The sequence below is a fragment of the Homo sapiens genome, chromosome 6, assembly GCF_000001405.40.
Source record: "Homo sapiens chromosome 6, GRCh38.p14 Primary Assembly".
NCBI classification, from domain to species: Eukaryota; Metazoa; Chordata; class Mammalia; order Primates; family Hominidae; genus Homo; species Homo sapiens.
The window spans coordinates 155,178,909-155,206,363 of NC_000006.12; the positions used below are offsets into that span (position 1 = coordinate 155,178,909).

At 42.2% G+C, this 27,455-nt stretch overlaps 1 protein-coding gene across 3 annotated transcripts in view, besides 5 other annotated features; it reads left to right on the forward strand.

Annotated features, from left to right (window-relative positions):
* The window catches only part of TIAM2 (TIAM Rac1 associated GEF 2), a 262,409-nt gene that overhangs the window by 183,594 nt on the left and 51,360 nt on the right, over positions 1-27,455 (forward strand). For all 3 annotated transcript variants that reach the window (NM_012454.4, NM_001384546.1, NM_001384547.1), the window contains 4 exons: positions 131-235; positions 470-548; positions 3,318-3,410; positions 4,329-4,592. In NM_012454.4, coding sequence (NP_036586.3) covers positions 131-235; positions 470-548; positions 3,318-3,410; positions 4,329-4,592 — 541 coding nt within the window. The remainder of the gene's footprint in view (positions 1-130; positions 236-469; positions 549-3,317; positions 3,411-4,328; positions 4,593-27,455) is intronic.
* Positions 2,679-2,888: an enhancer, noted in NCBI's record as "active region_25304". NCBI's record gives its function as "activates an Ori minimal core promoter by ATAC-STARR-seq in GM12878 lymphoblastoid cells {active_cell/tissue: GM12878}" and the evidence as "EXISTENCE:reporter gene assay evidence [ECO:0000049][PMID:35858748]".
* Positions 6,451-7,258: an enhancer, noted in NCBI's record as "OCT4-H3K27ac hESC enhancer chr6:155506493-155507300 (GRCh37/hg19 assembly coordinates)". NCBI's record gives its function as "activates a minimal SCP1, AML or CMV promoter by ChIP-STARR-seq in naive H9 embryonic stem cells {active_cell/tissue: H9 hESC(naive)}" and the evidence as "EXISTENCE:reporter gene assay evidence [ECO:0000049][PMID:30033119]".
* Positions 7,259-8,064: an enhancer, noted in NCBI's record as "OCT4-H3K27ac hESC enhancer chr6:155507301-155508106 (GRCh37/hg19 assembly coordinates)". NCBI's record gives its function as "activates a minimal SCP1, AML or CMV promoter by ChIP-STARR-seq in naive H9 embryonic stem cells {active_cell/tissue: H9 hESC(naive)}" and the evidence as "EXISTENCE:reporter gene assay evidence [ECO:0000049][PMID:30033119]".
* Positions 8,547-9,050: an enhancer, noted in NCBI's record as "H3K4me1 hESC enhancer chr6:155508589-155509092 (GRCh37/hg19 assembly coordinates)". NCBI's record gives its function as "activates a minimal SCP1, AML or CMV promoter by ChIP-STARR-seq in primed H9 embryonic stem cells {active_cell/tissue: H9 hESC(primed)}" and the evidence as "EXISTENCE:reporter gene assay evidence [ECO:0000049][PMID:30033119]".
* Positions 17,021-17,520: an enhancer, noted in NCBI's record as "H3K4me1 hESC enhancer chr6:155517063-155517562 (GRCh37/hg19 assembly coordinates)". NCBI's record gives its function as "activates a minimal SCP1, AML or CMV promoter by ChIP-STARR-seq in naive and primed H9 embryonic stem cells {active_cell/tissue: H9 hESC(naive and primed)}" and the evidence as "EXISTENCE:reporter gene assay evidence [ECO:0000049][PMID:30033119]".

Sequence of the window (27,455 nt, forward strand, 5' to 3'; positions counted from 1 at the left end):
GGTTTAAATTCAGCAAATTATATGCAGTATTCTTTTAGAGATTTCTACTTTGATTTTTAATAAGCCTGCTAACCAATGATGGATTTAGAAAGAGCATTTAAAATCTGAATAACTGTCTTTTTCTTTATAGATGAGGCAGTTGGAACCCAGCCATTATGGCCTACAGCTTCGAAAATTAGTAGATGACAATGTTGAGTATTGCATCCCTGCACCATATGAATATATGCAACAACAGGTAAGTGTGCACTAGCTTTAGGAAGGGAAACTGAACCACATCTATGGCCCTTTGATTTTGAAAAATGTCATTTTTGGGGAAAATTCTGTTTAAATTTGGCGTCTAGTTTGGAAACAGTCTCTATATAAACGGTATCTTAACAGCTTTCTTGTTTTATGAAAAATAGTGTCAAAGTAATTTTTTGAGGTATCATAACATGAGATCCTCTGATTTTGTTGTTTTCACCTTTTGCAGGTTTATGATGAAATAGAAGTCTTTCCACTAAATGTTTATGACGTGCAGCTCACGAAGACTGGGAGTGTGTGTGACTTTGGTGAGTGTAAGGAATGCCCCTTTCAGGGAATTGTGTTGTTCATCTTTGCCTACTTTGCCCCAGCATCTTTGGACTTAATTTTTTCCCCTTACATTCACATTTTCAGAATATATGACAGTAGTTTCTGAACTTCCTTTCTCTTCCTTCATTTCTATTTATTGATATTAGCAGGTGACACAGATAGGTATTAGTATTAGAGGGAAATGCCAAAGTAATTAAATGGAATGAATATAAAATTGATGGGAATTTGAAAATATAGATTAATAACACAATGAATGTACTGTGTGCTGGTGCTGCTCTGAGCAGACCAACTCATGATTCATATGACAGTTGCTTTCATCTCTAGTGTCTTTGCTCTTAGTTTTCTCTTCCCACCTGGAATGCTCCCCTTCTTTCCTCTTTCTTCCCCCATCCCTCCTCTCTGGTGACATGAATCCTGCTGTCCTTCAAGAACTAACTCAAGGTCTTTCTTGAAGAAGCCGTGTCTGATTGCTTTAGCTTTACTTCCTTCTTTCTTCCCTGAGTTTAACAGTTGAGGGTCAGCTGGGCGCCGTGGCTCATGCCTGTAATCCCAGCACTTTGGGAGGCCAAGGCGGGCAGATCACCTGAGGTCGGGAGTTCGAGACCAGCCTGACCAACATGGAGAAACCCCCTCTCTACTAAAAATACAAAATTAGCCAAGCATGGTGGTACATGCCTGTAATCCCAGCTACTCGGGAGGCTGAGGCAGGAGAATCGCTTGAACCTGGGAGGCAGAGGTTGCAGTGAGCCGTAAGCCAAGATTGCACCACTGTACTCTAGCCTGGGCGACAAGAGCGAAACTCCGTCTCAAAACAAAACAAAACAAAAAAACAGTTAAGGGTCAGTACTTCTGAAGTCACTTCATAGCATCATTTCCTACATTTCTCCTTGATTAGATAATGATTGGTAAATACTTCCATAGAAACACTGAATGATTAGATAATGATTGGTAAATACCTCCATAGAAACACTGTTTCTTACCTTGTTAAATATATCGATACATGATTTTTTCCTTAAAATGATTCAAACTAATAATAAAGTTTATAATATGTTAAAATGTCCTTTTTAGGATGCCTTCGTTTTTTAAAAATTTGTATAATCTTTTCTGACCCCCATGTTATTTTTTTATTTTTTATTTTTTTTGAGACATAGTCTTGCTCTGTCACCCAGGCTGGAGTGCAGTGGCATGATCTCGGCTCACTGCAACCTCCGCCTCCTGGGTTCAAGCAATTCTCCCTGCCTCAGCCTCCCAAGTAGCTGGGATTACAGGCACCGTGCTTGCCACCACACCTGGCTAATTTTTGTATTTTTAGTAGAGACGGGGTTTCACCATGTTGGCCAGGCTGCTCTTGAACTCCTGGACTCAAGTGATCCGCCCACCTCAGCCTCCCAAAGTGCTGGGATTACAGGCATGAGCCACTGTGCCCGGACCCCATGTTATGTTGGTTTTTCCTTTGAAGCCCTCTTAGCCTTTTTTCTCCTCCTCTTGGCCTTCACTGTGCTTTTTGTGGTTGCCATTTGTGTTCATCTTTGTATTGGAATGGATGAATGAAGACATTGCAAAGATACTCTCTGGTGAGACCATATTCTACCAGCAGAAGATACTCTCTGGTGAGACCATAATCTGCCAGGCTCTGCTGGGGTCACAGCAGAGACCTAGGGAACAGGACATTCTTGCTGTCCTCAAAGAACTCTCCGTATTAGGGGACCAAGACATGGAAACCTGTGCTCCTCACTGTGGCATCACAGAGGGGGACACTAAGTCAGGAGCCATGCATTCAGAAGAGGGAAGGTCTGCCTAGGATTTGCATGTAGTCTTATGTATTTAGGGCAAGCACCGTATTCATCCAAGCATTTTTTCACCTTCTTAAAATGCTCAACCCCAAACATAGTTGTTTCTCAACAATTATTTGTTGTATTGAACTGAATTTCATGTATTTCAGTGAGAGTATTTTTTTGCTGTTAAATTTGCCTAAATTTTTAATTGTGGTAATAGACATATAACATAAAATTTATCGTCTTGACCACTTTTAGGTGTACAGTTTTGTGATGTTAAGTACATTCACAATGTTGTGCTACCATCATCTATCTCTAGAAATCTTTTCGTCTTGTAAAGCTGAACTCTGTACCCATTTAACACCAATTCCTCATACTGTCCTTCCCCCAGCCCCTGGCAACCACCAGTTTGTTAATACTTTGTATCTCTCGGAATTCCCCTAGCAACCACCATTCTATTAATACTTTCTACCTCTCTGAAGTTGACTGCTCTAGCTACTCACGTAAATAGTATCATACTGTGTTGTCTATTTGTGACTGACATATTTTACTTAGCATATTCTCCTCAAAGTTCACCCAAATTGTAGCATATGCCAAGATATTTTTCCTTTTTAAGACTGAATGATACTCCACTGTATGCATAGATCACATTTTGCTTATCCATCCGTCTATTGACAGACAGTTGGGTTATTTCCACCTCTTGGCTATTGTGAATTACGCTGTTATGCGTGTGGGTGCATGGTCTCACCTTTGGAATAAAAGTTATGTTTTTATATTTCTTAAGCCTCTCGTTTGACATTTGTCTTTTTCTGCCCCTGCAAGATATTTATACTTTCAAAATAGCTGTAATTTCGACTTTCTCAACATACTGTACTTATGAGAAAAGATGTTCAAGGAGATACTGCCGGTGTGGTTGGAGAAATTCAGTGTGGTGGGCTGAGACTTGCTTTTTCCTTTTGTTTTCATTCCTAGGGTTTGCAGTTACAGCGCAGGTGGATGAGCGTCAGCATCTCAGCCGGATATTTATAAGCGACGTTCTTCCCGATGGCCTGGCGTATGGGGAAGGTCCGTGTGGCACACCGTGCCCCTGTTGCCTCTTAATTTGAAACTGTGGGATACAGTCTGGCTAGTGAATGTTTCTTCTTACAGTTTTGTCAGAAAAAGGTTGCTCCTGGAATTTTAAAGAAAGTAAACGTAAGAGTTTAATTGGAAATGCGACCAAACACAGCGGCTCGCTCGCATAAACCCAGCTGCTCAGGAGGCTGAGGTGGGAGGATGGGAGGATTGCTTGAGCCCAGGAGCCCAAGACCAGCCTGGGAGACAGAGTGAGACTCCTGCCTCCGTAAAAAAGGACAGAGAGAGAGAAAAGAAAGAAAATGCATATGCCTATATATAGAGAGAGCATGTGTGTGTGTGTGTTTAAAAGAGTAAGTGTATACATATATATAGACAGAGGGAAGGAGGAAGAGAGTGTGAGACAGACAGGCGGACACGGATGGAACAAAGTTAACATGGGAACACTAGAAAAAACAACGAATGAGTGGTTCTCAGGAGGCTGAGGCACAAGAATCTCTTGAACCGGGGAGACAGAGGTTGCAGTGAGCTGAGATCTTTCAAACTGTTTCTTCGAATAGTAGCTGTGAGAGAGCTAACATTTGTTTTGCTCTTAGTGGCATCTAAATACTATACATTTTGGCCCTTTAATTCTTTTTTGTTTTTCTTATTTAAAAGACGAAGTCTTGCTATATAGCCCCAGGCTGGCCTCAAACTCCTGGGCTCAAGTGATCTTCCTGTCTCTGCCTCCTGATTAGCTGGGACTACAGGCACCTGCCACTGTGCCTGGCTGGCACTTTCTTTGAAGAAAGCAACAAACAAAACAGTCCCTACGAGTACATGGTTTGAGTTTGCAGCCTTCTTTCATCTGAAAATATTTCTCACAGTAATCCCTCTCTCTTTTTTCTGTTTCTCCTTCCTTTTTCTCAGGGCTGAGAAAGGGCAATGAGATCATGACCTTAAATGGGGAAGCTGTGTCTGATCTTGACCTTAAGCAGATGGAGGCCCTGTTTTCTGAGAAGAGCGTCGGACTCACTCTGATTGCCCGGCCTCCGGACACAAAAGCAACCCTGTGTACATCCTGGTCAGACAGTGACCTGTTCTCCAGGGACCAGAAGAGTCTGCTGCCCCCTCCTAACCAGTCCCAACTGCTGGAGGAATTCCTGGATAACTTTAAAAAGAATACAGCCAATGGTAAGGCTTTGTTCTGTCTTCCTTCTTAACTGCTGGTATCAACAGCCAATATTTTTAGGCTGTAATTTTGCTTGCAAACTCAGATTATTTAAGCTGTTCAAAGAATGTTTTCTAATTTATTAGAAGAACACAGATGCCAACTGGAGTAGATTTTATCAAAATTTCATGCGTTTTAGTAATTATAGCGCTTTCATTAAAATAGAAAATAATTATTTTTGCACAAAATAACATTTAAAAAAAAATCATGGACTCTTTAAAAATCACCCATAATGTTTAGTCTTGTAGTTCCTTTGTGACTGAAGGCAGATGAAAGCCTGCATAAATGCCAAAGTGGAAAGATTTTTCTTATTTAGTTGAATCTAAGGCACAACCATTTTGCAGTCTTCTGTTGGGCTCTTAGAACAGCCCGTGCATTTCAGTTCAGTTATATCTTTTGTTAAGTACTACTTTATTAATAAACAGCAAACTTTCTTTTTTAAAATTTATTTTTATTTTTATTTTTTTTTGAGACAGAGTCTCACTCTGTCACCCAGGCTGGAGTGCAGTGGCACAATCTCAGCTCACTGCAAGCTCTGTCTCCCGGGTTCAAGAGATTCTCGTGCCTCAGCCTCCTGAGTAGCTGAGACTACAAACGTGTACCACCATGCCTCGCTAATTTTTGCATTTTTAGTAGAGGTGGGGTTTCAGCATGTTGCCCAGACTGGTCTCAAACTCCTGACCTCAGGTGATCTACCCGCCTCGGTCTCCCAGAGTGCTGGGATTACAGGCATGAGCCACCGTGCCTGGCCAGTAAACAGCAAACTTTTAATGTAGGTCATGAATTTTAAAACTTTGTGAAGGCCTAAAAATGAAAAACTGTGTGCCAGTTTAGTTTTCTCACGGTAAGACTTCCATATGAGGAAATCATTTGAAGGTCTGAAGTTTTGAGTTGATCATTCATGTGTATTTCATGTACTGCAGTCAAGTAAATTAGGGGCTCGGCTAGTACTGAAAACCAGTAGTTTCGCTTTATACCTCTGGAGAGCCCGGGTCAAGCTCCACAGGAGACCAAGTGTGGGGTCTTTTTCCTGGGAGAACACAGAGCAATTTTTATACTTAATTACGATAATAATGGATTTCCAATTGAAATCTCTGCATGATTACCAAAAATGAATGAAAAAACACCAAAGAGAAGTTGTTAGGATTGATTTAATTATAAAGGAAGTTTATTAGGTCATTTTTGGAATTAAAAAATCAGATGGTAAGATTTGCGATTCAATAAGGTATCTCGTGCTTTCTCCTCCTCTCTTGGGGCTTTCCTCTAATTTAAAATGCCATTAAATGGACTATTGGCATATAAAAGTGAATGTCATAAAACAAAAATTATGATGGAACTTATTAATTACTTGGGTATATTAGGGCCATCATTCAGCTACCCTGGGCTGCTGTTATGGGCCTGAGTATTCCATATAATACATACATGTGTCCATTTGTTGGATTCATTACTCTTGAGGGATACATTCACTACCTGTGTTATGTCTCTATGTATTTTATCATAATAAGAAATTACCACAGAGGCTATAATACTTTTGGTACTTGCGGGAATGAATTCCTGTAGAAAGTAGAGAAAGGGGCAAATTTACCTTTTTTTTTTTTTTTTTTTTTTTGAGACAGTCTTGCTCTGTCACCCAGGCTGGAGTGCAGTGGCGCAATCTTGGCTTAGTGCAACCTCCACCTCCCGGTTTCTAGTGATTCCCTTGCCTCAGCCTCTGAAGTAGCTGGGACTACAGGAACATGCCACCACGCCTGGCTAATTTCTGCGTTTTTAATAGAGATGGGGTTTCACCATGTTGGCCAGGCTGGTCTTGAACTCCTGACCTCAAGCGATCCACCCTCCTCAGCCTCCCAAAGTGCTGGGATTACAGGTGTAAGCAACCGCGCCCGGCTGTTTTTCTTTTCTTTTTAAATTTTTTTTTAAATAGTAAGGATCAAGCAGGTGAGTTAAGCCACTTTTATTTATTTATTTATTTATTTATTTATTTATTTATTTATTTATTTATTGGCAAGGAAACAGAATAAAGAGGCAGTCCTGGATCTGTTAAATAGCTATTCTATTACTCATCTTAGGCAGCCATTCGGACTGTCTAATCCTTTACAACCAATGTCTGTGTGGACAGAGAGCTTAGTTAGCCAGGCAGGCACGGTGCTTGTCCACATCACGTCCTCCTGATGGAATCTTGCAGGTTCTTCCACTACCAGCCTAGTGGGAGCCACTAACCCTTTCCTGGTGTCCTGGCAAGACTGTGCTCTGTGGGTGTGACAGTCTCCCAGGCAGCGCCCCGCCCACCTCTGCCCTGAGCTTTACCATTCCTCCCCTCTCCTAAGCTCCAGGTGGCTGTTCCATAGTGATGTCGCCTGTGCTGGAAAAAACAGCCCCAGCAGACTCCTTCCCCAGACACCACAAACAGAGGCTTTTCTTTTTCTTTTCGAGGTAGTTGCGTTGCTTGTGAAGGAAGTTACATGCCTTTGGGCAAACATCTCAGAAGGAAGTCTTCCATTTTGAAGGTTGAGGGGAAAAGAAAATAAGGGTAGGTGGGTGGATTAAAAGATAAAAGTGAAAAAAGACCAGGTCTCTCATTCATATGCAACATCTGAATGACAAGAGAAGCCTGTGTTTGTGGAAACTCTGAGAGATGGCAGGGTGACAAGCATACAGGTTTTGAGTCAGACGTGGGTTCAGGTCCTGGGCTGCCCTATACTGGTTTTTTGACTCACCCAGGGAGTTCTGGGCTTTGGTGGATGCTACCCCAGCCTCTTTACCCTGGTGGAAACGGTTCTGAGGTGCAGTCTACACAGCTCTGCAGATGGGCCCTGGAATGAGCCCCAGCTGTACACAGCAGCCTCGCTTTCACACCTCCCATGGGCTTCCTGCCCTTCTTGCCTCACTGTCCCTACCCCTTCCTTTGGGAATCTCGGGGTCACCTTCCAAATAAACTTCTGTACTCAAGTCCTTGACTCAGACTCTGCTTTTAGGGGAGCCCGAATGAAGATGCTGAGCCTCACTTTTCTCATCCAGAGGATAATGTTTCTCCCCTGCCCCTGTGGTCCCTGTGAGTTTGGGGGAGTTCCTGTCTGTGGCATGTTCAGCCCAGCGTTTCACTTGGCAGGAATTCTGAAAACGTGCTTCTCCTCCTCCTCCCTCGCTTTTGCAGCTTCCTGTTTTATTAAAAATTACCTTGATTTACTTTTGCAATGAATTAGAAAACAGTAATCCCATTTTTTAACTAAAAAAGTTAAAATTTACGGAAATCAAAAATTTAAATGACTTTGAAAAACAGTTTTTAATACAACTTTGAATTATAACTTAGCAGTGGCCGGCCATTTGAGAGCCTGCCTTTCCCTAAATTTCACTTTCCCTTGGCATTGCTAGAAGGCAACCATGTACTTGAAAAGAAGGAAAGTTCTGTTTGCTTTTCCAGAGAAGCCAATCCTTTGCTTGCTATAAAAACCAAATGGCTGGCTCTCTGGGAAAGAAGACCTGTTTTTTTAAAATAGAAATTATAAGAATATCAGAAAGTAGATGAAAAGGAAAGCCTTAAGCACTTGTTTGGGCTTATGTTGCCCTTCCAAGCAGAATATTTATAGCCCCCTGTCGAGCACTTAAAATGTGTGGGGGACCCTGGGAACAAGCTACACAGAGTTCAGGGCTTTCAGTCATATCCTGAAGTTTACGTTGCTTAACTTTTGTCTCTTGATCAGTTTCAAGTGGGAAAAAAAATCTGTCTCTGTCTATATCTCTATATCTAATGAATCTTTTACTGAAAGAAGTGTTAGTCACAGTGGCAGGTCCCAGGAAGCTAGGGGGTTGCTTGTGGGTTGCTATTAAGGTTCTGCTTTTCTAGAAAAGAAGCATCCTTGCAGTATTTGACATTCATTGATACTAATAATGTTTAGGAAAATGGGTCTCAAACTTCCTAGTGCCCAAGACTCACCTGCTGAGCTTAATGAAAATGCAGATTCCAGGGTTTTGCTGTGGGTGCACCTCCTGCAAGAGGCTTGGGGCAGTGCAACCCCCCCTCCCCCACCCCGCCCCCTTTTTTTTTTTTTTTTTTTTTTTGAGATGAAGTTTTGCTCTTGTTGCCCAGGCTGGAGTGCAATGGTGCAATCTTGGCTCACCGCAACCTCCACCTCCTGGTTCAAGGGATTCTCCTGCCTCAGCCTCCCGAGTAGCTGGGATTACAGGCATGCACCACCACGCCTGGCTAATTTTGTTTTTTTAGTAGAGACAAGGTTTCTCCATGTTGGTCAGGCTGGTCTCGAACTCCCAACCTCGGGTGATCTGCCCGCCTCGACCTCCCAAAGTGCTGGGATTACACGTGTGAGTCACTGTGCTCGGCCGCAAGCCCCATTTTTAACTTGCGCAGGTGTGGAAAGCAGCCTTGGAGAGCCAGCCTCTCTAGCCTGCATTGGCTGGAGAGCAGCCCCAGGGCTGGCGTGAGCACTCCCGCTGCCCCTTGGCCATTAGTCTACAAGAGGTGGCCTGAACTGAGGCAGTAGGACTTACTGTTTCCTGAGGCCTTCTATGCCGAGGTTTTGAGGATGGAATGAGATAATGTGTGCAAAGTTCCCGGCACATGATCTCTGTTGCGCATGTGTGTTCTTAGGAATTGTGTGTCCCAAACCTCCACCATTGTCTTTCCTCGTGCGCTCAGAATGCAGGCAGTCGACTCTTAGCTCACCTCGTTTATTGCTGGGCCCGTGCTTGGAAGACACCATGTTCCATTTGGCAAATCGCTTACACTGGGAAGCAAAGAACTTCCAGCATTCACCAGCTTCACTCCACTATGCCTGTGATGCTCTGTGAGGAGCGGAAGAGACAGGAATATATGGAGAATCGTTGAGGGTTCAGTATGAAGTTCCTCTGTTGCCTACAAAATGAGTGACCATTTGATTTTGCCTAGAAGGGCTTAAATTTCTGTTCTAGTTATTCACAGTGGAGAGAGGAAATGTCCGTAGGCTGTATTTGACTTGAGCGGAAATATCATCTGTAAAAACTTTTTATGGAGAGAATTAATTTTACCACTGGAATTCCCCAGAGAGGCCAGTGTTATTTCAGAGCCAACAAGGCAACCATTGAAGGGATTGGACAGGCCAGACCTGTTTATACTGGGATCCTGTTAATGCCATACTTGTGATTTGTGTATGAAAATCCCTTTTCTAGTGTTTGCCATCTTTTGAAACATTCCAGCAGCTTTTAAGAAAGTCTCATTGGGCATAGAGTTTCTGAATAAAGTCTTTATGTAAACACTGAACTTGTCGCATTAATGAATTCTCCATCTATAAACAGCCATTAATCCTACCTTGTTAGGATTGGAGGTGTATTTAATAGGGGACAAAAATAGAAAAGACCTATGTTCCTCCTTCCATTTAGACGATGTAAATCCAACACAGGCTTACCAGATGATGAAGGTAATTGCAGCCTGAGGTTCTTTTTTTAGCCTCCACGCCCCCTTTGAATCATTCTTTTTTTAAATCGCTGTGAGTAGCGTTGAGTCTCAAGCTACCAGAAGCCACTTCGATGTAAATTTGCTCTTTGGAATGAATTGCTCTTGGGAATGTATGTGTCCATTATATAGCTTCTCACCAGGGAAAAGCATTATAGAGCCAGCTCTGATGTGGCAAACCCACTTATTTCCTGTTTATGAGAGTGAGGGCATTTTGGCTTCCATAGCCTGTTTAGGATGACTAACAGCATTTAGCTCAGAGAATGCTCTGTTTGTGTGTAAAACTGCTATTAGTGAGTCTGGCTGGCTGATACCCCAGATTTCCAGATGTAAAAACATATTAGTGTTCCTAAAGATGAGTGGTACTTTTTTTTTTTTTAAATCAGAAAACAATCTGATTGGGAAATACTGGTTTTACCAGGACACAGAACTTTGGTCTCAGAATTACGAGTTTGTTTTGTCTGTGCTGAAGATCGGTTTCATTTCCACCAGTGTGGAAGTGAGCGTGTGGCTTTCTTTTAGTGGTGGAAAAAATTAAGATCCTGGATACTAATTTCCTTATAAAACTTAGTTTTGTTTGATTCTCTTTTTCTTATTCTCAGTCATTTATTTATTCACTTGTGTATTTAACAGATAACCTTTTGTTAAATGTCGAAGGTACATAAAGGTGAATTACACATTATTTCATACTCTCAAGAAGCTCATAGTTGAATTGGAAAACACTTGTAAATCCTGGCTCCAAAGAAAAAAAAAATTGCAATGAAGAGAATTAGAGGTCAGAGGTGGGATTTCCACTAATTTTTCTGTTTTACAAGAGCAAAGGCACCCAGAAGCAAGGCACAGGGCTCTCAGCATCAGCATCAGAGGACAGTTTCTAGAAGGGTTTGTGTTTGATCTCAGCGCTGCAGTTGGACAGGCCATGGACCTGGAGGTGTGTGGTGGGGGGATTTGGTGGAGGGAAGGGCCTTTCACATAGAGCAAGCAAGCTGGAAGACAGAGGCTGCATGTAGAGGTCACGGGAAGAAAGGTTGGAAAGTCTATTGGGGCCAGATTGTAGAAAACCCTGAATTCCAGGAATTTATAACGTATCGTTGCATGTATCTGAAAAACCAACTAGCTAATTAACTAACTAATGAATATTGTATTACTACTTCCCCCTGCCTTCTATAAAATATAGAGAACTTGTCTGCTCATTTGATGGCCACTGGAGTGTGTGTGTGACTTGAAAAGCTTGCCCCTGCCTGTCACCTCTCTGATCCCACCACTCTAGCTTCATTCCTTTGGATCTTAAAGTATTGTCATGTTGAATGATCAGAAGCCCCTTATAAAATAAATATTCAGATGTTTTAGAGGAAAGAGTGAATAAAGGAACCCCTATATGTTCTCTGTAAAACCTAAGTCTTCCTCAGCACTGGGAAGCCGTCTCCACTAAAGTGTGGTCCTCACCGGTCCCCTTTAGGGGTGAGGTAGATGGATTAACATCCTGCTGGCCTGTGACAGGGATGGCTGGTGGGGAGGGGACACCCCATGGCAAAGAGGACCAGGCAGTATGAGGGTCAGGAGGAGAGATGTTAAATAAACGTTCCCAGCATTTTGAGTAAAAATCAGTCTTGGCTTTTCTCTCCGAACATTAACTATAAATACAACTTTCAGATAAAAATCTACAGAAGTTCTCTGAAGCACACTGTGTGAAATATCTGTTGGCTCTGCCACTTTTGATAGACATTTGAGAGTTTGGGATGCCAGGCAGGTCTCCTATGAAGGTAGAGTGAGCCGGCTCTCTGTGAAGCAGTAGTTCTATGAAACTATTGGCTGCTGAGAAGAGGAAACTTTACAGCCTGTTACATAAGGAAAAGGAAAAAAAAAAAGATCTCACTTTCCTGTCGGTGTTATGAGTACTGGCTGCCAAATGGTGCTTGTTTGTGTTTCTATTTTTTTCCTCCTTCTTTTGTAAGGGGCTTGAAAATGAATTCTATTTCTCACTTTATTCCTGCCTATGAAGGAAGTGAGATCATTGGGAAGGACCAAGTATGAAAATCTTCTTTTTAGCTCTCGTGTTTAGAGATAACTGTATTGTGACACTATCTTCGCTTTTTCAGATTGGTAATACATGCGCATGGTACAAAATGCCAGCAGTGTAGAAGGGTAAACGGTGACAGCTAAGTCCCCCTAAGCTACATCGGGCAGTGGTGAAGAGCATGGACACCATCTGATGACCTGGTTCAGGTCCTGGCTCCAGCCTCTCCTACTCACTAGCTGTGTGACCTTGGACAAGTCACTTAACCTGAAAGCTCAGTTTTTCCAAGTGTAAAATGGTCTAGGATTTTTGTAGGAGCAACGGACTAGTATTTGGAAAGCACCAGATACTGCCTGGCACGTAGTAAATGCCATGTAAGTGTGTGTTGAATACGCAGATACATTCCTCCTACCCTGTTCTTAGCCATGCAGTGTCTCTTCCAGAGGTCATCATTGTTCTTAGTGTCTTTCTCATCCTGGCCTGGAGAATTCTAAATATTGGGGAAAATTGGCTGGGCGCGGTGGCTCATGCCTGTAATCCCAGGACTTTGGGAGGCTGAGGCAGGCCAATCATTTGAGCTCAGCAGTTCAAGACCAGCCTGTGCAACATGGTGAAACCCTGTCTTTACTAAAAATACAAAAATTAGCCAGGCGTTGTGGCGCACACCTGTAGTTCAAGCTATCACTCGGGAGGCTGAGGCAGGAGAATCGCTTGAACCCAGGAGGTGGAGGTTGTAGTGAGCCAAGATTGCGCCACTGCATTCCAGCCTGGATGACAGAGTGAGACTCTGTCTCATAAAAAACAACAACAAAAAAAAAAAATTGGGGAAAATAATGGGGTATTTTTCTGCCTTGTTTTTACTCCATTGTCTTAGTACATGGCTATGGTGGAGAGAATAATGGCCCACCCCAAACATGTCCACATTCGAATCCCCAGAACCTGTGAATATGGCAAAAGGGATTTTAAATTTCAAAAGACTTTGAAGATATGATTAAGTTAACTATCTTGAGATGGGGGATGGATTTTCATGGATTATGTGGGGGGCCCAGTGTAGTCACAGGGGTCTTTACTGGAGGGAGGAGGGTCAGAATCAGAGAAGTAAATGTGATGAGGGAGGGAGAGAGTTGACAGCCACGAGCCAAGGAATGCAGGCAGCCTCTAGAATTTGGAAAAGGGATGGAAAGAGTCCTCCCTTACAGCCTCCAGATAGAACACAGCCCTGTGGCCTTAATCTTCTGATTTTCAGAACTGTAAGGTAATAAACTGAGTTTACATGTCAAGCACCATGTTTGATGGCAGAAATACAAACATGAAAAAAAAACAACACAGTTCTGGTATTCGGGGTGCCATGGTCTGGAGGCAGACGTGTGTACAGACAGCAGTCATAATCCACTATTGTCATTACTCTAGTTTTACAGTTCTTGGACTTGTCGGTCTCTTTCTGGACGCTTTACTGTTAAAAATTATTGAGGGCCCTAAAGAGCTTTAGTTATGCGGGCCACATCTATATCTATTGATATTGACTGTATTAGAAATGTAAACTGAGCAATGTCCAAAATGTTTGTTTAACATAACAATAGTGGATCCATTTTTATGTAAACACAATAAACATTCTTTTAATGAAATGTCTCCTCAAACCAAAAAAAAAAAAAACTTAGTGAGTAGCCTTATTTTACATTTTTGCAAATTTCTTTAATGTGCATCTTAATAGAAGAAAACTAGATTCTCATATCAGCATCTACATTCAGTCTGTTGCAGTGTATTGCTTTGGTGGAAGTTATTTAAAGAAAATTCATTCTTATACAGGTACATGTAGTTGGAAAAGGGAGGAGTATTTTGATACTCCTTTCAGACAACTGTGGATATTCTTTCATGTGTTCCCAAACTCAGCAAGTGGCCATTTCTTCAAGGTTGGTTGCAATGCGGAACCTGAGGCATTATTGGTGGACTTTTCTTATTTGGTAGCATTAAAATTCATTGGCCTATCTTGTACTTGGAATAGATCTTTTACTCATGCGTGATTTCATAACATGCATTGTTTATTTGGAAATATGGAATCACTAAGTTATGTAGATCTTCCAAATGTGGACATTTCATTTCACAGTATTAAAAATTACTTTCAGGCCAGTCACGGTGGCTCACACCTGTAATCCCAGGATTTTGGGAGGCCGAGGTGGGAGGATGGCTTGAGGCCAGGAGATTGAGACCAGCCTGGGCAATGTAGTGAGATCCTATCTCTACAAAAAATAAAAAATTAGCTGGGCATGGTGGCTTGTGCCTGTAGTCCAAGCTACTTAGGAGGCTGAGGTGGGAGGATTGCTTGAGTCTGGGAGGTTGAGGCTTCAGTGAGCTGTGGATTGTGCCACCGCACTCAGCCTGGGGGACAGAGCGAGACCTTGTCTCAAAAAAAAATGTCACACTCAGATCTCATTGGAAAAGTATTGGGAAGCTCACGGTGGCAGATACAAATTTTCCAAAATTCTGATTTTTGTTGGACAGTTTGAATTATATCTACCAATACCGTCAGGCTCATTTTGTTCATTTTAAAGAAAATGTTTTTTTCTCACCTTTATTTTCCAAGTAAAAATTGTGGTTCTTGAAAAAAGACAGTTAGTTCCGCTCCCAACACAGTTGTACATATGTTTTTCCTCAATGCTACGATTGTGCTTGGGTATGCAGCTGACGAGTTGTATGTGTGCTTCCTGAACATGTTCCAAGGGTGGAGGTTTAGGAAAATTACCAATTTTTGCTGCTCCATTGAGGACATTCTTAAGTGAAACTGGCGCATTTTTAAATGTAAGAGTGTGGCAATGAAGAGCGCAATGGTGCTGAGCACAGTTTGGTGTTCCTGCCTTATTTGTGCTGAGACAGCAGCAGATGCTTTGCACCATCAGTGCACATGTCCTCAGAGAGCAAAAGGCAAATGACATTTGACATTTGACATTTTTCTGAAAATAATTTTCAACTTGTGGACTCCCTGGAAGGGTCTTGGTGACCCCAGGAGTCTACAGACCACACCTGGAGAAGGGCTGTTCCGATACATATGGAGCAGCAACACAGAGGAGCAGAAAACTCATGTTCCAGGTTGATCAGGGCCACTCTCCAGGGAGGGTCTCACCTTTGTTAACCCCTAGGGAATGAGAAGGTAGATGAGGGGGCATAGAGCGTTCCAGGCGCAGAGAAGCCGGGAGGAGGCCGGGGCTGTCTAGCTGTGGGGAGGTGTGTGAGTAACTCAGATGGTTGGAGACTCAGGTGCAAATGGGGAAGAGGAGAAGGTAGGGTGAGACAGGTGAGCAGGGCCAGGTGACAAAGGGTCCACGGAGCTGCGAGCAGCCTGGATGTAAAGATCCACAGGGAAAAGATGATCAGGGTATGGTGGGTCAGATTTGTAGGTTAGAAAGACAGGCAGCCCCGGTGCCAGCCAGGGAAGGGCATTGCAGCTGCTGCTAGTCCTCTAAGAGATGACCAAGGGTGGCCAGGCACCAATGGGCTGAGAGGTGGGTGGCACAGCATGGCAGGCAGTCCCTGCCCTTCCCTCCCTCAGAGCACATAGGTAGGAGGAGATACTCTGTCCTCCTCCTTTACAGGGACTCTGTCTTGTATTTGTCACCAATAAATCACTGGGCACATAAGTAGAGTCATTCAACAAATATTTGCTTGAACATTTGAACAAATGAGTAGAGGATATAGGAACAACAAGACTCAGAATATGAGAAAGAAGAAAACCCCAGGTCTTCCGCTTTAAACATTTCAACATTGACATGATTTGGCTGTGTCCCCACCCAAATCTCATCTTGTAGTTCCCTTAATCTCCATGTGTCATGGGAGGGACCAGGTAGAGGTAATTGAATTATGGGGGCGGTTTCCCCCATGCTGTTCTCATGATAGTGAGTTCTCATTAGATCTGATCATTTTATAAGGGGCTTCCCCCTTTGCTGGGCACTGATTCTTCTTGCTGCCACCATGTGAAGAAAGACATGTTTGCGTCCCCTTCCACCATGATTGTAAGTTTCCTGAGGCCTCCGCAGCCCTGCGGAACTGTGAGTCAATGAAACCTCTTTATTTTATCTATTACCCAGTCTCAGGTATGTCTTTATTAGCAGTGTGAGAATGGATTAATACAAACATTAACTTTATTTTTCAACAAGATTCTAAGGCTTAAGGTGTGCAAAATAAAACTTGTAACTAAGAAGGGAGCTGTGGCTTTGTTTATAGCTTGAGATTGAATCCGGGTGCAAATAATTTGAGAAGTTTTTGCCTTCAAGGTGGAAAATGAACTTCTATACTTAATCCTGAATTCAGGCACATAAATTAGGTCCATGACATGAGATTTGCATTTTTTTACCCCATGGTAGGTACCCATCGCCTGTGAAGATCACACTGAGGCCAAGCTGAGAAACCAGTGATCTCTGGAGAAAAATATTTTTCTCTCATTTTACTTTTCTCTGGTTTATCAAGTATTTAGTTACTGCCTGTTGTGTCAGGCATTGATCTAGGAGGGCTAGAGATAAACAGTGAACACAGCAGGTAAAAAAGCATCCTTGCCCACGTGGAGCTTACTTGTATTTTAGTGTGTGGACATACAGAGTAAGCGGGAACCTCACAATTAATAAGTTATATAATGTATTCACAGATGATAAGTGTGACGGAACAAAAATTGATCAGGGTGGGAGGGATGGGGAGTAGGGGCCAGGCTGGTTGCAGTTGTGCATAGGGCAGGCCGGTAGTGCTCAGGGAACAATGGACACCTAGGAGCACAGGCTTGTGGGAGGTCAGGGATGGGGCCACGTGGCCGTCAGGGGGCAAAGCCTTCTAGGCTGAGGGAACAATCACATGTGCCCCGATGTGGCCTGTTTTTCGGCAGGTGTGCCTGGAAGGGCAAGGGAAGAGCAGAGCAGTGAGAGGTGAGGCCCAGAGGAAGTGTGAGGCCAGATCAGGCTGACCTCAAAGACCATTGTGAGGTCCATTTATTGGAGGGAAGGGAGAAGCCGTTGCAGAGAAGGAGGAGCAGGGAAGTAGTGACATGATCTGACGAGTGATTGGTAAGGATCACTGAGTGTTGCTGAAAATGGACTGAAGGAGGCAGTGGTGCAACAGAGGCTTTGCCGTCACCCAGGCGAGAGGTGAGGGGGTGGAGTCTGCTTGGGGTGGTGGCAGTGGCAGTAGAGCCAACAGAGCTCGCCCAGAGACTGGAAGGAGAGGGATCAGAGGTGACCCCCAGGTTTTGGCGTGAGCATCCAGAAAGTTGGAGTTTCCATCAGTTAAAATAGGAAGATGGGTGTGGAGCAGCTTTGGGGAACGATGAGGAATTGGTTTGGGAACTCCTTGTGTTTAACTTCTGTTCATGTTGAATATTTCACCTGCTTCCAAAACCGTTTTGAAATGAAAACTCATCTATAAAATTCCATAAGAGGTATCAAAATTAGCAACAGAAAGAGAAAGGGGGGAAATTTTAAAAGGCATATTGGTCTTTCCTCTAGATTGGATGGTGTTGGGAAGCGGGAGTTACTCAATGATTGGGAATCTTAATAATCTTACCTAGAAGATGCTCTAAATGGTAAATGAATTTACAATGAAAACGTTATCTATAAAATTCCATTAAATTCATCAAAATTAGCAACATAAAGAGAAAGGGAGGAACTTTGAGTGACACATTACCCCTTTAAAGATGTCCACTCATAGTGTAAGGCAAACACATATTTGTTTATAGGAGAATAAATCAATAGGCTTTGAAATGCAAATTGTAGCACATCAGTTCCTTTCATTTCAGACAATTTAGTTCTGATCTGTTGTACCTTATAAATTTATTTCTGCCCTACCATACTCAGCTATGATTATTTATAAATTATCCAATCTCATATAAATCCATTTATCTGTTATCCTTTCTTGCATATGGCTGTTAACATCTTTAACATGTCGTGGGAAAATGTGACAAAGTTCAAATTATCCCATTTTGTTACTTGTTGGTAGCTCTGGAGAAGGTTATTTGGAAAAAAGCACATGAAATTGTTAACAAAATTATTGTGTATCTTCTGTTAGGAGCCCTGGCCAGCTGCCCTGGGGAGTGAGCAGGTGCTATTCCACAGTTTCTAGAGTGGCAGGATGCCCCCTCCTTCCAGAAGTCTCCCAGTGGGCTTGTGCCAAATCTGGACTTCCCAGTGAAGCACTTGGAAACTGCCGAATGAAAGGACATGTGATCCTCCACATTTTAACATTTTTCTTTCCAAACACTAGTTATTTTCTCCTAAATTGCCATTTGTGAATCTAATTCTGTCTTTCATGTTTCAGTTGATGAATGGCCATGCCATTCTTTTGTGAAGTTTAGGCATCTTCGCATAGCAGTATTAGCAACATTATTTGAACATTTATTGAATTTTGTCATTATTATTTTATACAAATGATTGAGGAAAAATGGGGGCTGAAAATGTTGATAAGAAGCCTAGCTTTTCTAAGCTTAATTACCCATGACCCCGAAATGCCAGTCACCGCATGTGTCCAGCCAGCAAGACATTAGCTCCATATGGATGTTCTTTGACCTTGAATGTATTGGTCTGTTCTTATGCTGCTAATACAGACATACCCGAGACTGAGTAATTTATAAAAGAAAGAGGTTTAATTGACTCACAGTTCTGCAGGGCTGGGGAGGCCTCAGAAAACTTACAATCATGGTGGAAAGGGAAGCAAACATGTCCTTCTTCACATGGCGGCGGCAAGCAGAAGGGCCGACCAAAAGGGGGAAAGCCCCTTGTGAAACCATCAGATCTCGTTTGAACTCGCTGTCACCAGAACAGCATGGAAGTAACCATGCCCAAGGTTAAATTACCTCCCACCGGGTCCCTCCCAGGACAGGTGGGGATTATGGGAACTACAATTCAAGATGAGCTTTGGGTGGGAACACAGCCAAACCATATCACTGAGCAAGTCAGTATGTGTTCACTGGGGAAAGAGGAGAAAATTAATACATGTGCTAGGTCTACTTAAAAGGTGCAGCACAAATAGAAGTTTTATCATTTTTTGGGATCTCTGGGAGTAGAAGTTCACAGAACCTGAATACTCACCTTTCATGCTTCTCTTTTACAATTGTAGTCTGTGAGAAGTGTGGGGCTGCTTGCATGTCACACTGGCGGAATCTTGGGCTCTTCCTCTTTTGAACTCTGAAGGCATTTTGTCTGTATGGCTGATATGAAAGTTGCCTTGCAATATCGCTCACTGTGTGCCTGTCCTAATTAACCTACTACTGACAATCCCTTGAAAACAGGGACTTTGAAGAGTGTAAAGGATGTTTCAGACACAGCAGCCAGCACAATTCTTGATAAAAATAGCAGGCATTGAGTAAATAGCTATTGAGTGAAAGGAAGGTTGTTAGAAATCTCTTAATGAGGCCGGGCGTGGTGGCTCACGCCTGTAATCCCAGCACTTTGGGAAGCCGAGGCGGGTGGATCACCTGAGGTCAGGAGTTCGAGACCAGCCTCACCAACATGGAGAAACCCCATCTTTACTAAAAATACAAAATTAGCCAGGCATGGTGGCGTATGCCTGTAATCCCAGCTACTCGGAAGGCTGAGGCAGGGGAATCACTTGAACCCGGGAGGCAGAGGTTGTGGTGAGCCGAGATCGTGCCACTGCACTCCAGCCTAGACAACAAGAGCAAACAAGAGCAAATCTCAAAAAAAAAAAAAAAAAAAAAAAATCTCTTAATGAAAGTTAAGGCAACGTTCTTAAGAATGAATTATGGGGGATAAAAGGAATCCTTGGAACACATCTTGAGGCTTCCATGATTTCTTCTTTATAAATCTGATGCAAGGGAATGGTGCCGAGACTTTCTTGAGCCGAGGTCTCCATCAGTGGCACATGTGTGGAGGGCACCCTGGGATGGCCCATGGCTGTGGTGGTGGAGAACCACATGCCCCAGCTCTGGAGTCCTACTGCATATCCTGGGAGTCCACGGAGCCTAGCTGCTGGCTCACGTCTGTGCTGCTCTGCAATTTTAATGGGCTAATTGGTGCCCATGACAGTTAATTTGCCAGCTAAACCAAAACCACAACTAAAAAAGGACAGTAACTTCTTTATTTTTTTTTTTTAATTACAAAAAAAGTTTTTAAGACAGAGTCTCGCTTTGTCACCCAGGCAAATGGTGCGATCTCGGTTCACTGCAACCTCTGCCTCCCAGGTTCAAGCGATTCTCCTGCCTCAGCCTCCTGAGTAGCTGGGACTACAGGCACAAACCACCACACCCAGATGATTTTTGTATTTTTTAAATAGAGACAGGGTTTCACCATGTTGGCCAGGCTGGTCTCGAACTCCTGACCTCAGGTGATCTGCCTACCTCGGCCTCCCAAAGTGCTGGGATTACAGGTGTGAGCCACCGTGCCCAGCCTGAGAACAGTAACTTCTATATCACCAGTATAGGCCAATAGTGACAGTGAGTTGTGTTTTAATTTGGGGATAGTAACATTTGTAAAAGACTATGGGTCTCAAATAAGGTCTCAAATGGATTCTAGTTCCTGGCTTTTTCGTCTGTGACCATGGGCAGGTTACTATAACTATTTTCTTGACTCTTAAAACAAGGGATGAGGCAAAATAGTTTAAAATTTTTTCCTTCTCTCTCTGAAATTCTTGTATTTAACGTGATTGAAGTGACAATATAAGAACTACAGGAGTGTACATTTCCTCCAAAATTTTATGAAGCGAAAAAAGCAAAGTAATGGATCAAACATTCCATTTTGGTTTTGCAGCCAGTCCCATTCCCTCCTTAAATAGAGTCAGGTCTTGACTGCGGTAGAGAACGTGTTTGTTAAGGCTTCCTAATAATAGCAGGCTGTCTCAATATAAAGTTCACAAAGAACCTTAAAAACATGAATTATCCCTCACATCACCCTGATGGAGCAGAGATGTGTTATTATCATTTTACTTTCACAGCTGGGTAAATCAAGGTATAGAGACACATCAAGCCTCTGGTAGCTTGGACAAGGTCATAGTCAGTGGCACACACAGATAGAACTGTGTCTTCCTGTTTTTCCTTCCATGTAGGGAAAAATGTCTGGATTTTAACTGCTTTTTTTTCCTTTTAAAGATTTATCTATTAATATACATAGAGTAAAACCCAGTTATAATTTGCCTTGCAGTAAAGCAAATTTAGATGTGATCGGATTGCTGATAGTCCTTGTCTTCTCATCTGGATTCTTATCTGAGGGTTGGGACTGATGATCAGAAAGGTCTTGTGATCATCTGGGGCTTTCTCAGTTCAGGGAAAGGTCAGTTATTTACAGTCATAGCTTCGCTATCTATTCTTGTTCCTTTTTTGATGGTTCATACAGATTTTCATTAACCTTGCAATCATGTGGCCATATATTTCCTGTGATTTGTTTCTTTGGAACCCTCTTATGGTGGAGTTTTGCTGTTAATTCTAATTTCTCTCCTGTAATATCTACCCTGACTTCCTTATCTTCTTTTTAAAAAATTGAATAGAATTAACATACTATACAATTTACCTTTTACAGTGTACCATTCAGTGGTTTTTAGTATATTCACAAAATTGTGCAACCATCACTACCGTCTAATTCCACAATATTTTTATTCCCTCAAAAAAGAAACCTGACACCCATCAGAAGTCACTCTTCAAGGCCAGGGTCAGTCCCTCACGCCTGTAATCCCAGCACTTTGGGAGGCTGAGGTGGGCGGATCACAAGGTCAAGAGATCGAGACCATCCTGGCCAATGTGGTGAAACCCTGTCTCTACTAAAAATATAAAAATTAGCTGGGCATGGTGGCGCACACCTGTTGTCTCAGCTACTTGGGAGGCTGAGGCAGGAGAATCACTTGAACCCAGGAGGCAGAGGTTGCATTGAGCCAAGATCGTGCCACTGCACACCAGCCTGGTGACAGAGCGAGACTCTGTCTCAAAAATAAAATAAAATAAATAAACAATAAATAAATAAAAATAAAAAAAGAAGTCACTCCTTATCCTCCACGCTCCAACCCCCGCTCCTGGCAACTATGAATCTACTTTCTGTTTCTATGGATTTGCCTATTCTGGGCATTTCATATAAAAATGAAAATACAATGTGTAACCTGTCATGTCTGGCTCCTTTCACTTAGCATAATGTTTTCAAGGTTCATCCATGTTGTAGTATGAATCAATTCTTCATTCCTTTTTATGGCTGAATAATATTCAATTTCGCCTTCTTTTAATCCAAGAGAACCGTAGCACTTACTGAAAAGTGTCCTCAAATTTTCTTTTTTCCGTAGAAACTTTCTCTAATAGAATCTCATGTGTACTTTTGTCTAGGTTTCTTCTCAAAGTCTTTAAATAGAACTCCAGCTAAGTAGTTCCTAAGGGCTTTGAACTTAAATTCAACTTTATTAAAATTCTTGGAGTGTTTGAAGTACGGTATTGTCTGTTACATGCCTGAAGGTAAGTAAGTGTGGCATTGGGGTGTCCTCCCAGTACTAGTGGGTGTCCGTTTCCTTGCAGTGCCAAGACCTTGGCTGAAGATCTCTCTCGTCATTGACTGTGTATTTTTCACTGGGGCTCATAAAACCCCATGGGAGGCTCTGCACCTTCTTTCTTTGGGTTAAGCACGCTGCCTCAGTCACTGCCATAGCCTGCCTGGCGAAGGAAGATATGGGTACATCTAAACGCTCTTTTTCGTTGTTCTAAGAAGGAGTATTGCAGTCAGTGTGGAGGTGGCTGGCAGCACCTTTCTACTGTGAGAACATCTGCCATGTTCCTTTATGTATTTTTTCCCACTCTAAGGACATTTATCACAAGACAATTGAAACAGATCCTGGCAGCCTGCTATTAAGAAACATTTACTACCAGCATTTACTTTACTGCTCTCTGTTTATTGCCGGTGTTAGCTTGCATTGTCAAAAACATCACCAATTGGAATGTGACCTCAGGTTAAATGGACTTGGAAGATTTATGAATCTTTCTAGCACAGTATTTGTGCTATAATAGAATTTATTTCTTTGCAAGCTTAACAATAACATTCAGACTGCTGCTTTGAATTTCCCTGACATGAGTCATAACAATAAAAAAAAATGCAAAGTCCCAGATATGGTCAGAAGAGAAGACTGATTTTTATCTATATTAAGAGTAGGTAATAATAAATGGTGATCTCTTTGTTAATGGTGCAGTTTGGGACTTGACTCACCTTTGAATGTGGTCAACTCAAGAGTTACTTTTTTTTTCCCTCTCAGTTATTTCTATTATTTCATTTAAATGCTTTGTTTTCATTCTCTTTCACTGACTGATGATCAGAAATATTTGCCTGGATGGCACAGTACAGCTAATGTCATTAGTGAAAGGTGGCACAAACCACTGCATTTTAAAGTAAAAGTATGAGTAAAATTTTGGACAATCTGTGTTACTTAAAAATATGCATTGCTATACAAAGTTTACAAATTTAAATTTATTTAGAAGAAATTGTTTTAAAAGCAAGGTCTCACTCTGTCGCCTAGGCTGGAGTGCAATGGCACAATCACAAGCCACTGCAGCCTCTACCTCCTGGGCTCAAGTGATCCTCCTGCCTCAGCCTCCTGAGTGGCTGGGACTACAGGTGTGCACCACCATACCTGGATAACTTTTTTTTTTTTTTTTTTTAATAGAGATGGAGTCTTTCCATGTTGCCCAGGCTGGTCTTGTGAACTCCTGACCGCAAGCAATCCTCCTGCCTTGGCCTCCCAAAGTTCTCGGATTATAGGCATGAATCACCTCACTGGCCACAAAGTTAAATTTAAAAGGAGAGATTCTGGCTGGGTGCCATAGCTCACGCCTGTAATCCCAGCACTTTGGGAGGCTGAGGTGGGTGGATCACTCGAGGTTAGGAGTTTGAGACCATCCTGGCCAACATGGCAAAACCCCATCTCTACTAAAAATACAAAAAAAAAAAAAAAAAAAATTAGCCGGATGTGGTGGCATGCACCCATAGTTCCAGCTACTCAGGAGGCTGAGGCACGAGAATTACACCTGGGAGGCGGAGGTCGCAGTGAGCTGAGTTCACGCCACTGCACTCCAGCCTGGGTGACAGAGCAAAACTCTGTCTCAAAAAAAAAAAAAAAAAAAAAAGAGAAAGATTTGCAAAGATTTTCTTTGCAAATGTTCAATGTGCTGTTTGTACTGTGAGAACTGGCTGTGAGCATTAATGCAGAGTTTTGTAATAGTGGGTGAAGCTTGAAGAATTGAAAAAAAGTCTTAATTTTCTATTTACATAATGCTATTATGCCTAGGCTGGCAGCTTTGATTTACCCAAATTTTAATCTTTTCTTAAAATTACATTTGTACTTTTTTTAAAAAACAAAAGATACATAAAATGAAGGAATTGAATAGGGTGATTTCTGAGTTTCTTTTCTGATCTAAAATTCTTTGATTCTCTACGAGTTTTTCATTTATGGAATTGCATAGCATAAATTCTGAGAAACTGAATAGGGAAACTGAGTAAATCAAATAGATTAATAGCATAATTCAAATAAAGTACGTTATTTTTTCTGGATGTCAGTAGATAGTAGAATGTAAGTATTAAATGTCAGAGACGTGTAACTCTAATGCCAAAGTGGATTATGTAGTTGAAAACTTAATTAAACCATTTATTATTCACTTGTAACTACTTTGACATTATTTTTTAGATTTTTTTCAGTCTTAGAAAATTATTCTTCTGTAGTTTTCACATCAGAAGGGGTTTCTAAGGATTAATGATTTAATCAACTAAAAACATTTTTTGAGCCTGAGATGAGAGTCCCACTGAAATACACTTCATTGTTATTTGGCTGCTATATTTTTAATTGCTTTAGTGAGTATATTTTATCTTTCTTTGGGAAGTGAGGGAAACTAATACTCAGAGGGTGCAAAATGCTATGGGTTGGATGCATTTTGCATCCTCTGATGCCACTTGATTCTCTTAGAGGTAAAGTTGAGGTCCTGGCCACGGGGAGGGGCAGAGGCAATTCTCAGAGGTGGTGGCGCTGACCACCAGGTGACATTTTGGAAGTTTGTGTTTCTGTTTTTGGTCATCATAATGATTCCAGGGATGGTGACGTTTGGTAGTTGGGACATGGTTGCTGGACATCCGGCAGTGATCACGTTAATCCCATACATTGCACATTGTTCGACTGGACCTTAATGGAGGTTAAAAAACATGCATATAATTATCTGAGCTAGGAATTACCTCGATTTTACAAAGAAATGCAAATTATTTTTTCCCCACAGCTATAGGTACTTGGAATTTTCTGGGAAGATGGCAACCCAATAAATAAAGGAAGTACATCCTTTGTTTTGCTCAGAACTTTGCCAAGAGTTTTGTCATTTTGGAAAATCATGTCCCTGATGGTCATACCACCAAGACACACTGGCATTGGTCTCTGGTGAAGCTTGGGACAAGGCCTGTAGAGCCAGTGGCTGACAGCTTCCTCACGGCTTCTGGAGAGGTTCTGGTGCCATTTACATATGGAGTATAATTCAAACAAAGTATTCAAACCATAGTTTTTAATTATAAATTACTTTCCGTTTATTTTTCTTTTTGTCTTATTTTTAGGGTAGTATATTGCTTTTGGAGAAACTATGAAGGTAGATTATATTAAGAATGATTTTTATTTCAGGATAGTAAAAGTATATATTATCAAAAAGGACCCTTTGGATATGAGAGTATTAAAAATCAATGTACTATAATATATGCTTTGAAGCATGAAAAACATATTTTAAAAACAATTTTCATTCTCATGCCCGATACTTTTAGTCTATTTCAAATGAATCCTCAGTCCGCATATTGAAGCACGGCTTTTTCCGATGCGGTGACTGCTGTCTTAGTTCATTCGTGCTCCTGTAAAGAATAGCACACACTGGGTAATTTTAAAACAAATTTACAGGCTCAGAGTCCTAGAGGCTGGGAAGTCCAGTGTCAAGGTGCCATTAGGTTTGGTGATTCTGATTCCAGGATGGCACCTTGAACGCTGCGTCCTCATTGTGGCTGAAGGTGGAAGGGTAAACAGTGGAAGAGAACAGAGCCACTCCTGAGAGCCCTTTTTATCATAGCATTAATATTCATGAGTCATGGGTAGAGCCCTCATGACCTAAACACCTCCCAGTAAGTCTACCTCCCAACACCATTGCATTGAGAATTAAGTTTCCAACATGTGAATTCTGGGGGATACATTCAAACTATAGCAACTACCATTATTAATTTCTAAAAAAAAAAAAAAAAAAAAAAAAAAAAAAAAAAAAAAGTCATCTTGTACCTTTGTACCTAAGAAGAGAAAACAAATGTTCTCCTGTCACTTTGCATTTCTTGTTTTTGGCTATGGATTAATATCATGTTGAAATTTTAAATTTAATTTCTCTTTAATTGCTGTTCCGGAGAACTGGGGAGGCACTCTCAGACTTTGGGGTGGAGTGGTTCTTAGATCACTTTTTCTAGGAACCAGTTGTCTGTCCTCAGGAGGCCCCATCCTGGCTGCTGGAAAGGCAGGGGAACTCTTCCCTACCTGTCCTTACAATCAGGAGCTGCCTGGTGTCTCCAGGGTCTGCTGGCGGCCACCTGGTGGGTGTCCAGGGACTACAAAGAACTTTCTTGCCTAGTCTCTTGCTGCCTGGTTGAGTAGGGAGGAGGCTGCCAGCAAGACTGGGATTATGGGATGGCATCAGCCAGATGAACCATACGTAGCTGCCTGAGGAGAGTCAGGCTTCCTTAGGATTAAGCTGCAGGTGGGATGCTGGCAGGGACACCACCACGCACGCCAGGCCTTCTCCCAAGCTTTCCATTGCTGCCCGTTTCCAAGAATTCCCCCTTGAGCCTATCACAGTGAGCACCTAGATCTATTGGTGCTTTCTGGGCAACAGGAAAAAGAAATGGCAAAACCCACACGTTTGCATATTAACTGTGCTAGGTTGGATTTGGAAATGATGTAACTGTACATTTTGAATTCAGATTACGAGCTGTGTGGGTGAGACAACCTTAACTTCAATATTTCCTGATATTTCTGTTTTTAAGTTGGTACCCAGGATGTCCCTTTAACAAATGTTTTGCCCTTTCGTTGTAAAGGATCTGGGGTTGCCAGTGACTTGGCTGACAGTGGTGCTAATGGGCCAGGTACTGACGCACAGTTCAGGAGGAAGCTGAATGACCAGGTGTCTCAAACCTAAAGCCAGATGTGTTCCCCAGTTGTCTGTAAGGAGCTATAGGCTGTGCGGAAGTGTAGGGAGGCAGGCATTTTCCGTGGTAGCCTGCCTGGACTGTCATCCTTGTCCACAGCATGGTTTTTTTGTTGTTTTGAGATGGAATCTCGCTCTGTCGCCCAGGCTGGAGTGCAGTGGTGTGATCTCAGCTCACTGCAACCTCCACCTCCCGGGTTCAAGTGATTCTCCTGCCT